This window comes from Homo sapiens, chromosome 14 (genome assembly GCF_000001405.40).
Source record: "Homo sapiens chromosome 14, GRCh38.p14 Primary Assembly".
NCBI lineage: Eukaryota > Metazoa > Chordata > Mammalia > Primates > Hominidae > Homo > Homo sapiens.
Genome location: NC_000014.9, coordinates 48,862,216 through 48,876,284, shown reverse-complemented (window position 1 = coordinate 48,876,284; position 14,069 = coordinate 48,862,216). Strand labels below are relative to the sequence as shown.

The following is a 14,069-nucleotide window of genomic DNA, read 5'->3' as shown; positions in this document are numbered from 1 at the left end:
AATTCAGGGGAAGGGATTCGTTTCTATCCTTCAATTTGTTCATCAAATATTTTAAAGAAAGATCAATTTTACATTTAGTTTAAGATAGTTAATAGGGTCATCTTGCTTAATGAAAGAGACAAGGTACAACGTGATGCCCCAAACTATATCCTATGTTAGAATAATAAAAGCCATAATAAAACATTGTTCAAAGAACAATAATAATCACTATTGTTAAAATAATAGTTAACTTTTACTGGGAATGCATGTGTCAGACACTACGCATAGATTGAAATATATATTTATCTTAATAATAGCTTTTTGAGCTCCTATTATTATATCTGTTTTATAAATGATCAGACAAGGGTACTGTGTGTGTATGTATGCATGCATATAGGTGCATGCATAGGATCAGGCTATTATTTTGATCACGTCTTTGCATGTCCCCCAGCCTACAGAAAAAATGCAGCTGAGTAAGGTGATGATTCCTACCTCCACTGATTTGGAAAGATTGTTTAACAAACTCTTATGTGAATAATTCAGATTTCAAGATATATGTAAGTGTGATTATTTTATTGGGGTTACACATACACATACATACACACACAAACCTATATGCACTGTAACCCAATTTAGATTCCCTTAGGTGAGAGAAGTAACATAAATGTATTCTGCGTGTTTGGATTTCCCTGTATAAGATATATGATATTATTCTAATCTAATTCCGGTTATTAGAAAACCTTGAAACACCAAAACATGCTTAATATATTACCGGTTTACCACCAGATACTAATATTTGCTTGCATAATATTCAGATAAAATTTGATATCTTCTAGAGCTAACAATGACATGGCAGCTTTGACTCATGCCATGAAACGGTTCTGATGAAGCACTATCATGAGTTTCTTCCACGACATCTAATAATCAATTTTATAGGCGGGGCTCAAGATAAACCTCCCAATATTCTATTTTACACAAAAGGGAGCTGTATTGAGGTAAGATCGCAAAGTATTTATACAAATAGCAGGTTCTTTAGGATGAGGACTTATTTTAGAAGTCTTTGGAATGCCTTAATGCAGGATAGACCAACCATCTCATCAGTGAACTTAGATTTAGAAGTGAGACAGATGCAAGTTGAAGTTGACTCCTAGTGAGGAACAAAGAATTTGGGCTATAAATGATCAAATCTCCACGGCTTAGACAATATGTGACTGCAGTGGGAAAAAGGATGGACATACAGTGCAAACAAAAGAAAAAAAGTACAGAAGAAGTCAAGCTTTCGAAAAGTAGAGCTAAATTAGAAATTTTAAGAAGACAAGGATGCAGTAAATTATGTAACAAAAACTGCAATTAAATGTAATTTATAGTGACATAAAACTAGCTTTCCGCTTAGCAAAGACCAGCTGTACAAAATATCTCATAAAGCCCAAGGTAGTGCTGATGCTTTGTGATGCATTCTAATTGTCTTCTGAATCCTTCTTTGGGTGCTTTAATTAACCTTTGTAACCTAATCCTCAGCCTAATCCTTAACCATAGCTGAGCTGCTACAGAATTATGGTCCTGTTCAGCAGTGGGTCACCAAATTGAATGATGTGAGTTTGCTAATTCCAGGCTTTTTCTCCTTCCAGAGACTGTGGAGCGAATGAATCATGAAGAAATTTGGTGATTCTGAAATGTTGCAAATTTTCAGTAACTCTTAGTTCTCTTCTTGAATAATTTCCCTTTCCCCAGATAATGCATATTATTTATAAATACCTACCAGGAAAGTCAGTCTTAATAAGTTTATTATATATTAATTACAAACTCTTTTTAGAAAGGTTCTAGTGGAATATTTGGAGGCATTTTAGGATGACATGAGACAATGCTGTATGAATGCTCATCCTTACTGTTGGAGCTGTTCAAGCCTTCATAGATTTGTCCCTGCTTCATGGCACATGCAGTGCATGAGGAAACAGTCAGAACTAATCAGAGTAAATCACTAATCTCTAGGTGGCATGGGCATTTTGGAGAGCCAAATTCATAAACAACTGGAATAAGACTTTAATTGGAATAAGACTTTAAATTACTTTCAGAGGATAATATTACATATATTATAAAAACAGGTAAGAAAACTAGCATATTTATCAATTTCCATTTCATTTTTCCTCCTGAATGTACTTTTGAACATCAGATAGCATTGAAAATTTATTTCCATTATATCTTGGTATTGGTAACTTCATGATAGAAATATGAAAAACCTGGTGATGTATATAATTGATATCTTGTTAAGTAAAAGGAGAGTCACGTGTGTCTGATTTTGGCTAGTACATGCTTAATACATGGCTAGAGTCAACTTCCCAGTTTCTGCCTGTGACTAAACTGTGTCCCACTGCCAGGTATCATCCTTCATGTTCTTTCCCTGTCTGCCAGCTTGATGTTCACATCCAGTTGAAGGTGTAGAGTTAGGTACAGAGTATCTGTCATTATGGGTTCCAAAATTATTAAGCAGAGCAAAACTCTACTACCTGAAATGACACTGGAGTGTTAATGTGAGTTAGGAATAAATTATTGTATATTAAACTACTGAAGTGAAGTTTTGTAAAGCAGCCAGTGTTACCTTAACTAACATGGAAGGTGATATAAGCATGATAAAGTACAATTAAATTTTAAAATAAACAGGGGAGGAATGTAAGAATATGTTTTTAAAAGTAATGAAAACATTAAGAAATAAATACATAGAGCAAACAATAATGTTAAATAAAGAATTAATGTCCAGGTGTGGTGGTTCATGCCTGTAATCCCAGCACTTTGGGAGGCCGAGGCTGGTGGGTCACTTGAGGTCAGGAGTTCGAGACTAGCCTGGCCAACATGGCAAAACCCCGTCTCTACTAAAAATACAAAAATTAGGCCAGCATGGTGGCACGTGCCTATAACCCCACTTACTTGGGAGGCTGAGGAAGGAGAACTGCATGAACCCGGGAGGCAGAGGTTGTAATGACCTGAGATCAGGCCACTGCACTTCAACCTGGGTGACAGGGTAAGACTCCGTTTAAAAAAAAAAAAAAAAAAAACATAAAATAGATGGAGGAAATAAAATGAAGTACATTGCAAATATGAAAGGACTGATGATTTTCAATAAAAGGCAGGCTGCTATATAGCATTGAAACAAAACCTAGCTGTATGCTATTTACAATAAATCAAGTACAAAAATTTTGAAGAAAGATTAACAATAAAGAAGCCCTGACAGACACACAGTAGTGGAAACAGGGGTGGCAGTATTAATGACAAGATTAAATTTAAGATTAAGAGCAGTAAACAAGATGAAAAAGAACAATGAATGACACCAAAAAACATTTTATTTTGTTGTATTTTTTTGACAGAGTCTTGCTCTGTTGTCCAGGCTGGAGTGCAATGGCACGATCTGGGCTCACTGCAACCTCTGCCTCCCGGGTTCAAGCAATTCTCCTGCCTCAGCCTCCCAAGTAGCTGGGATTACAGGCATCTGCTACCATGCCCAGCTAATTTTTTGTATTTTTAGTAGAAACGGGCTTTCAGTATGTTGGCTTGGCTGGTTTCAAACTCCTGACATTAGGTGATCCACCCGCCTCGGCCTCCCAAAGTGCTGGGATTACAGGCATGAGTCACCATGCCTGGCCCCAAAAAACATATTTTAAAACAAGATGCAATAGTAATAAATTAGCATGAAATGTACTTGGCTATGAAGAAAACCTTTCCATTTTTTTTAAATGGGCAATTTTACCATTTTATTCTCTACTCATAAGTCAGTATAATTGAAATAATTAATTATAAATTGATCGAAATACTTTAACTACTTAAAGTTAGAAAACACAGGCCTAAATAACCCTTGTAGCAATGAGGAAACTCAAAAAAGAAACTGTGAACCATGCAAAAAACAATAAAAAGGAAACTACTTCATATATGTGGAATCTAGAGCAAGCTGAATGCAAAGGGTACTCTGTAGCCAAAAGGCTTATTAGAGAAGAGAGAAAACAAATAGAGAAATCAATGACTCATCTTAAGAATTAAAAATAAGAAATGCACTGACTAGGAATTGAAATCATATTATGTAAATTCCATGACTATAGAGATTTAGTCCATTTCTTTAGATTTGTAATCTCAGCTCTTAGAATAGTGCCCAGTTTATAAGAGGCCTTTAGGAAACACGTGTTGAACAAGTAAACTATAGGAATCTCAATAATAAATACAGCTGCAAGTCACTGAGCATTTACCATGGACTAGTCACTGTGCTTAACATGAATTATTTCATTCACTCAGCAATCCTATAAAGGTATCACATTTTTATATCTGAGAAAATGGAAGCTTAAAGAGATTAAATGAAAATTGCCTATTTTAGGCAAGCTAGCAAGTGTCAGGGCTGGGATTGGAACCCATGGGAACTCAAGTATGTTTTACTTTAAAAAAATCATAAACAAAATAACTGTTTTACTTAGAAATAACAGAACTTGAATAACCTTGCAAAGAGAGAATTACATTTTTCTTACAACTGGGGAAAATCAAATTTTAACATGTCCAGCCACATGCAATTATGAAGCTACAAAAGTCCAGGTGTCTCGTCAAGACAGGTTGAGCTTAGCTATATGCTGAATTATTATACAATCCCTCTGTGAGGAGCAGTGGGTTAATTAACAAACTCATTCGGTAGACTATATTAGTTTCCTGTGGCTGCTATAACAAACTTGCTGCAAACTCGTGGCTTAAAACAACAGAGATGTATTCTCACAGTTCTGAATGCCAGAAGTTGGAAATCATATTTGGCAGGGGTTCTTTCAGTCCAAAGGCTCTAGGGGAGACTCCATTTCCACGTTGCCTTCCCCTGTTCCCTTGTGTGTGTGTGTGTGTATTAGCTCCTTTTGTTTCTCTGTTTTTTTAATTTTTATTTTTATTTATCTTTTTAAATTTTGAGACGGAGTTTCGTTCTTGTTGCCCAGGCTGGAGTTCAATGGCATGATCGTGGCTCACTGCAACCTCCACCACCTGGGTTCAAGCGATGCTCTTGTCTCAGCCTCCTGAGTAGCTGGGACTACAGGCACCGGCCACCATGCCCAGCTAATTTTTTGTATTTTTAGTAAAGACGGGTTTCACCATGTTGGCCAGGCTGGTCTTGAACTCCTGACCTCAGGTGATCCACCCGCCTCAGCCTCCCAAAGTGCTGGGATTACAGGCATGAGCCACAGTGCCCAGACTGCTTCTCTTTTGTTAAAAGATTTGTTATGGCATTTAGGGCCACCCTGGATAACCCAAGGCAATCTCCTCATCTCAAGATCTTTAACTTAATTACATTTGCAAAGACCCTTTATCCAAATAAGGCAACATTTACAGGTTCTAGGGACTAGAATCTGATATTTTTGGTTGACTATTATTCAATTTACTGCGAGACCTACCAGGAGAGAGCTACAGGCTTTGTGGAGGAAGCAGGAGCATATCAATTTGAATAGTGCAGATAAAACCTGAGAAAATAGGGGAATCATTTGGACTCAGGTTTGTATGGGATTTTTGATAGAAAAGTTGAGCAAGGATCTGGTGTTAGCAATGGCTAAAATAAATTTTGGGACAATGAGGAGGTCTTTCGGGTAGAATCTGGTAAGTATTACTTAGGAAAGTCAATATTCATATATTGTTAAATGATTATTATCAAATAATTATTTTTTAAAAACTGGCTGTGCATAAATTGCCAAATGCAGGGCTTCATTCTCCAATAAAACTCCATTCTCTGGCAGATGTGAAAGTAGCAGTTCAGAAATTCCAAATGTTCCTCCATACGCACATTGAGAAAGCCATTTGTCTCTCTGTATTAGAACTCAAAACACGTATTATTAACAAGGGGTCTCTAAGATCCCCAAGAGTGGAATGTGATCCAAAGTTACAGAATACCTTTAGGAAAATTGAAATAACATCTAGGGATTTGAGAACTAGGGCGTCTGTTCTTGAAAGATTATCAATCTTCACTGATGCTGCTTTATTCTAAATATAAATCCTCATTTACCCAAGTTCTTTGCTCAATGATTTCAGCTCAGTCCTATGTGTCACAGCAGCTGAGCACTTGGGGCTTAGGGTGACTCGGGTAACTTTATTTTTGCAGAAGGTGTATTTACTCTGCTGGGGGATATCATCATTTTTCTTCATTCTCCCTGACATTTTGTCCATTATATTCTGAGTTTGCCTATAGGATAGAAATAAATGGCTCAGTCTTCTTTAAAAGCAAAGTACGAATTGAATAAATTTAGAAGCTGCTTGGTGCTCCAGATGCTGATCGAAGAGTGTCTTGCTTCAACTTATTCAGTCTCCCTTTATTCCTAAAGGAGACTGTCTATTTATTTTGGTTTATGGAAAGAGCTCTTGGCATCATGGATAGAGCCAGCATTATTATGAGTAATAGTTGGGCATAACTAAAGCCGAGTAAAGACAGTATTGAAAATCTGATTTAAAATTTCTGTTTTATAAGGTAAAAACAAAAGCCCTATATCAGGAAAATTATATTTGTAACTGAGCACTTTAATGTTTAAAAAACCTACTCTTGTAGGTGCATTTCTGAGTGTAGTCTCAGTGTAGAGTGGTCTTCAGCATTTTCCTGTTTTGCTTCACGGGGGAATCATAATTCTCAGGAAAATGGTTCTCAGCCACCAGTCAAGATGGAGGGTTATTTCACAGCAGCAATTTCACAGGGAAAACCTTTTGGTCTACAAGGATCAGAGTACTCTTACAGGAAGTGGAATTCAAGAGTACTCTTCAAAGCACCTTCTAGTCTTTCTTATCCCTCCTTAGCTTCTGAAGAATGTTAAGGACCCTGCTGCTTCTTTGAATTTTCCCAAGGTGTGCTTCTCACCTTGAGGCTTGGGTCTCACCTGGGTTCCATCAATCAGGTAGTAAAGAAGTTGATCAGAAAGAGAAAACTTATATCGCAGCTCCCCTCTGACTCTAATTTATGTACTTGGACATTTCCTGCTGTCCTGGCCTACTACCTAACAGCCATAGGCATGATCTGAAAATTAAAAAAAAAACTAAATAAAATGAATAAAATTAGATAGCTGCAGATTTGGGTGAAAGAAATTTTGTAATATTAACAATACCTCAACATAAACACATTCAATTAGGGTTTTATAAGTCAATTCCAGATTTCCATCTGTGTGGTAGGCCAAATTCTAAAATAGCTCACAAGATTGCTGGCCTCTGGAGTTCACACACCTTCTTCCAGTTAATCAATCAAGCACTCATCTAGGTGCTGCTGTGAATGGGTTTTGAAGATATAATTAAGGTTTACTTTAAGGAAGGGAGACCATCTGGGGGAATTTCACTTAATTACACGAGCCCTTTAAATCTGAGCCTGAAGGTCAGAGACAGAGAAGTCATGGAGATTTGAAGCTAGGGAGGGATTTGATGTGAGGGAGATTTTTCACAGATTGCATTGAGGATAGAAGGGTCCATGCAGCCAAGAATGTAGGCAGTGTCTAGGTGTGAGAGCAATTCCTGGCTAACAGCCAGCCAGGAGAAAGGGCCTCAATCCTATAGCACAAGGAACTGAGTTCTGCCAATGACCTCAGTGAGCTTGGCAGCAGATTTTTCTCGAGCCTCCAGGCAAGAAGTCAGCCTTGAAGACACCTTAATTTTAGTCTTCCGACACCTTGAGCAGAGAATTCAACGTCGTCACTTCTGACTCACAGAAGTGTGAACTAATTGGTGTTATTTTAAGCTCCCTAAATTCATGGTAACTTCCTATACAACAATGGATAACAAACACATTTTCTTTTTCTCTGGAGTTGCATGTAAGTTCTAATAGGCTAATGTAGCATTAAGGTGTCAGGAGGGGAGGGAATTCAGAAGATGATACAAGGTACTCAGAGGCAGGCAGTCCAAGTTGCAAACCCACTGCTGCATCGGCTACTCCCCCATCTCTCTCTGGTCAGTAGGCTTTCCACACTGGCCTCTGTTGTATATTCTCCCTATTTTCCAGTTATATTGGTTCATGCTGGTATCTGCTACTGTGTTCCTCTGTCCTCACCACCTCCCTCTTTAGGATGATCCCTTGGGCACCTTCTCTGTGAGGCTGCCTTCAGGAGCAAATTCCTGGAATCCTTATGCAGGCATTTCCAAACCATTGTTCCTCATCATTCTGGACGTAGAATTTTTCTATAAGGATGGAAAAATTCCCAGAGCTTTCTTGGGGAAAAAAATTGTTCTCTGTGCTCTCAAAACTCCAGACTTCTTTGGGGTTCTCTCATTTTTAGCTCTACATTTCTCTAACCTACTATACTAGATGTTTGAGTTTGGAGAGGGGCAGGGTATAGATTTCCTCCTTTAGAGATTGACATCAACACCTAGTTTTGTGGCTTCCCTCCTCAACACTTTGCAGGAAAACTTTATATCCCTTGAAAAGAAACATATGTGTATAACAATCATATGGTTAGGCTCTGTGTCCCCACCAAAATCTCATCTTGAATTATAATCCTAACAATTCCCGTTTGTCAAGAAAGAGACCAGGTGGAGGTAGTTGAATCATGGGGGTGGTTTCGCTCATGCTGTTCTCGTGATAGTGAGTGAATTCTCATGAGATCTGATGGTTTTATAAGGGGCTCTTTCCCCTTCACTTAGCACTTCTTCTTGCTGCCTTGTGAAGAAAGTACCCTGCTTTCTCTTTCTGCCATGATTGTAAGTTTCCTGAGGCCTCCCCAGTCATGCTGAACTGTGAGCCAATTAAGCCTCTTTCCTTTATAAATTATCCAGTCTCAGGCAGTTCTTTATAGCAGTATGAAAACGGACTAATAAAGCAAGTATTCTTTTAGTTATATTTGGCTCATACCTAGGCTTTGGCATATTAAATTGAGACCCAATTATTTGACTCTTCATCTCTGGTTTTGCTGTGACAACTCTACTAAGGTAATGAGTGCTGCATAAGGGTGATGGGATATAGAAGAACTATAGGGAAGAGAGAAACAAATCAACTAATGCTTCAGATATTTCCTCACCACCCACAAGTTTTTAGAGTAACTTAAGGTGGAGCTATTTAAAGAGGACGTGATTGTCTAGTTCTCAATTAAAATTAAGAATAATGACTGAGGAACCAGAAGTATTCTCTCTGGAATAGGGCATCTAAAATAAAATTGTTTTAGAAAGGTAAAGAATGAGTTTAATTAGCATACTGTTACATATTTTTCATATTTGATTAATATTTTCAAATATGTAATTTGAAAATAAAATATTTTAAGATTTTTTCAGATAGCAATCCAACATTTAATTTTTGAAAGTACAATTAATAAAAATATAGGTTTGGAAAATTCTGAGGAAATTGGACTGAATGTTCTGATTTTTGGTATATTGGGTTCTATATTCTGATTTTTGGTATATTGGGTTCTATATTTTTGTCTAACCTCAAAGAATATTTTTATTAAATAGTATTGTTTAACAAGGTAATTCAAGGATTTGTAGAACAATAAAATACTAGGACTCTCAGGGGACTTAAGAGTAGTTTTAATTTTCAACTCTCAATGACAGACTGTGTATACCTAACAGCCTTGTTTATAAAAGACGTTTATTTATTAAATTCCAGCCTGTGTTGTAAGTCAGTGGGACTTTATGTTTAGGTCAAAGACTTATAATTTATTTATAAAAAAATTATAAAACTAAATGTTTTAGATTTGAATCTTAAACATTTGTCTTTAGGACAGTAAACTAGTTTAACATATTACTCTGATGAAAAACCTTTTTACATTTCTAATTTGAAAATTCGCTTTATGTTAATGTAATGTTTCCAAGAAAATTGATGTAGGGAAGGGATCATGATGATACTGTGGTCAGAAACACAGGTGTTTTTAACTATTGCAAAGTTGGTGATTGCTCAGGCTTAAGTGATTTCATAAGTCTGTATTACATACAAAGGACAACTGATAAATGTTATAATTTACTAATTAAAAGTATGATTTCTGTAAATGATAAGGGATAATATATGTGAGTAGCAAGTATTAGGAATGCCATTTTATTCAAGTTTTGGTCAGTAATAACTGGGGGAAATTCAGGTTAAACATATCAGATATGCCATTGGAAATGAAGCAGTTGGTTTAGTGTACTGCTACTTACTTGTCTGGGTGTTTTATGCTATTTGGTAGTTATTTAGCAGACATCAGGGTGTACAGGAAGAACATGGGTCTAGAAATTAGGAAAAATGTATTCATATTCTTAACATTGCAAATACTAGCAACCCAGCCTGTATAGGTTAAACAAACAGTGAAGTACAAGAAGCTTCAGTTGCAGACAGTTTCTACTGATGTCAACATTTATTCTCTTTCCATTTCCCTCTCCACTTTATCTCAGCTAACTTTTGATCTCAGAGCAGAATCACTGTCAGGAGAGGAGTAACTTTTAAAGAATTCTCATGGCCTTTCTTGAGCTACAAATCCACCCTTTTACCAATCATTCCACCTGGAGATGGAGTGAGGTACCCTGACTGGCTGCCTGAGTCACATTGCTCCTGGATGTTGGAGGGACACAGACCCACCTAATTTATAGCTGTATCCAAATAGCATTGAGAGGGGGAGATGAGGTTCCCAAAGAGAAAAATTCTTGATTAATTAAATCTTCTCTGTGTTTTATTACAGTTTTCATTAACTAGAAGTGTGACCTACACCAAATCATTTAAATTGTCTGGCCCTTGGTTTCTTCACTTATAAAATAATGTGTTGTGCTGTATGATTTACATTTATCAATTTGTCCATCCATTCATTCTTCAGTCAGTAACTGCTCTCTGCCAGGCATGGTGCTAGTTATTAAGAATTCGAGGATTAAATATGATCAGTTCCTCCCTCTGATGGCGTAATGTGGAGGATAGACATACATTAAATGATGGCAATGGGATCTTATATAGAGTTGTGTGAAATACTAATAGTGACAGTTCTCATTCACTGTCATCTATTATGTGCTAGATTCTCGTCTGGATGCTTTATGTATCTTATGGTATTTGTCCCTCCTATTATACAAGGCAGTTACTGAAATGTAGTACTTTAAAAATGAGGAAAGTGTGCTTAGAAGGATTTAGTAAGCTACTCAGAAACCAATGGTCAGTGGTAGAGGCTCACACTTTTGAATTAATACTGAGCTCTAGATTCTCTTGTTATTTTCACTACACTGTAAGCAGAGAAGAAACAACTGCCTCTACGGGCAAGGATCAGGGACACCTTTGTTGCAGAGGTGATGTTACAACTTAGTGGAAAGGAAAGAACTCGCCAAATGGAGAAGAAAAAAGAAAGCACAAAAATTTGTGACTATTTGGGGTACAGTGGTCAAGTGTTCTTTCTTGCAGGGTTGAGTCATAGGCTAAAAGGGAAACAGAGGGAGATACTGCTAAGAGTTGGCTACAGACATGTGAAAGGCTTTGGATGAAGGACATTTGGACTGGACTTGTAGGTAGTAGACATTCTATGGAGGGGTTAAAGACAGGACTTTGAAGAATATTTTGATTTAGAAATATTACCTGAGGTTCTTTAGGTGCTAATATTTTATAATCTGGTGTCACATGCAGTTATATATTTTTAAGGTAATTTAAAAACAGGAGTGTGAAATATTAGCATGTAGAACAAATAAAGGATTTATTACTCATAATTTTTAAGTTTTAAATTCCATCTTGTCTTTCATATGAGTTAACATGTTTTTCCTTTTTTTTCCCCACACTAATTCTCTTCTTGGATAGAGTTCCTAAGCACACAAATGCAGAAATTTGGATTTCACATTGTTACCTGGACACCATGATTCTTATTTTGCGTAAATTAAAAACTTAGAAAGCTCTTGCTTGTTTGTGGTTATGTCTACAAATGAGCATTTCAATTCAGTGCCATTTTGATAGAGTATCTTTGTGTTCATCAGTAAATAGAATGATTGAAGCATCTTGGAGATTATCTTCTCCATGGGAAAAGATGACATGAGCCAAGAATGAACAGAAGCTGTGCTTATCCTATAGACTGTAATTACATTGGGCTTATTTATTTTTACAATGTGGACTATGGTAAATTAAACAAAATGGGCAAATCCACTTACTGTATATTAACAAAGCTGCTAAATTATTTTGAGTCATTTTTGTTTGGGATTTAATTGTGTTTTCATGTTAAATCATTAATTTAAAAATTCCTCCTAGTACTTATGATGATGTCTCATTGTTATTTTAATAATTTCTTTGAATGAATCACATGAAAATTGTACTTGCATTATTATGGCTTTTCTTTTTGTGATTCTTTTTAAATATTTCAACTTTTATTTTAGATTCAAGAGCACATGGGTAGGTTTATTACTTGGGTATATTGCGTGATACTGAGATTTCAGGTATGATTGATCCCATAACTCAGGTACTAAGCATAGTACCCGAAAGTTAGTTGTCCCCTAACCCTTGTCCCCTTCTTTCCCTCTGCCCTCCAGTGGTCCCCAGTGTCCTATTATTGCCATCTTTTTGTCCATGAGCACTCATTGTTTAACTCCTACTATTAGTGAGAACATGTGGTATTTAGTTTTCTGCTCCTGTGTTAATTCACTTAGAATAATGGCTTCCAGCAACATCCATGTTGCTGCAAAGATGATTTCATTCTTTTTTATGGCTGCATAGTATTCCATGAATGCATATATACCACATTCTCTCTATACAATCCTCTGTTGATGGGCACCTAGGTTGATTCTGTGTCTTTGCTATTGTAAATAGTGCTGTGATGAACATAAGCATGTGGGTGTCTTTTTGATAGAATGATTTATTTTCTTTTGGATATATACCCAGTAATGGGATTGCCTGGTCTAATGGTAGTCCTGTTTTAAGTTCTTTGAGAAATATCCAAACTGCTTTCCACAGTGGCTAAACTAATTTACATTCCCACTATAGTTATAAGTGTTCCTTTTTCTCTGTAGCCTCACCAGCATCTGTTGTTTTCTGACTCTTTCATAATAGTCATTCCGACTGGTGCGAGATGGCATCTCGTTGTGGTTTTGATTTGCATTTTTCTAATGATTAGTGATGATGAGGATTTTTTCATGTTTGTTTGCTGCTTGTATGTCCTTTTATGAGAAGCATCTGTTCATGTATTTTACCTATTTCTTAATGGGGTTGTTTTTTGCTTGTTCAATAGTTTGTTCCTAACAGATTCTGGATATTAGGCCTTTGTTGAATGCATAGTTTGTGAATATTTTCTCCCATTCTGTAAGTGTCTGTTTACTCTGTTGATAGTTTTTTTGCTGTGCAGAAGCCCTTTAGTTTAATTAGGTCCCACTTGTAAAGTTTTGTTTTTTGCTGCAATTGCTTTTGAGGACTTAGTCATAAATTCTCGCTCAAGGCCGATGTCCAGAATGGTGTTTCCTAGGTTTTCTTCTCAGATTCGTATAGTCTGAGGTCTTATACTTAAATCTTTAATCTATATTGAGTTAGTTTTGTATATGGTAAAAAGTTGAAGTCCAGTTTTATTCTTCTGTCTATGGCTAGTCAATTATCCCAGCACCATTTATTGAATAGGGAGTCCTTTCACTATTGTTTGTTTTTGTCAGCTTTCAAGATTAGATGGCTGTAGGTGTGCAGCTTTATTTCTGAGTTTTCTGTTCTGTTCCATTGATCTATGTGTCTGTTTTTGTACCAGTACCATGCTGTTTTGGTTACTGTAGTCCTATTATACACTTTGAAGTCAAGTGATGTGATGCCTCTGGCTGTGTTCTTTTTGCTTAGGATTGCTTTGGCTATTTGGGCTCTTTCTTAGTTTCACATGATTTCTAGAATTTTTTTTCTAGTTCTGTGAAAAATGGTGTTGGCAGCTTGATAGAAATAGTGTTGAACCTATTGTTGCTTTGGGCAGTTATTGTGACTTTTTTTGAGATGATATTAACCCTCTGGCCTAGTGCTAAAAATGCCTTGCCACTTTAATAGATTAGACAGTGTCTTGATATATTTAATAAAGAATCGTCCTGCAGAATCCTAATATTGCATGAAAGTAAAACCTCATACACTTCCAAAAAGTAAAAGTATAACACAAGTCTATTGTATCTTTATCTATTTTTATGATAGAAGGTATAGTGTCTACTGATATTTTCATTTTATTTTATTTATTTTATTTTATTTTTTT

General features: G+C 36.4%; 1 long non-coding RNA gene across 1 annotated transcript in view; it reads left to right on the top strand.

The window, feature by feature from the left end:
* The window catches only part of LOC105378178 (uncharacterized), an 894,025-nt gene that overhangs the window by 411,739 nt on the left and 468,217 nt on the right, over positions 1–14,069 (top strand). The window lies entirely within an intron of this gene.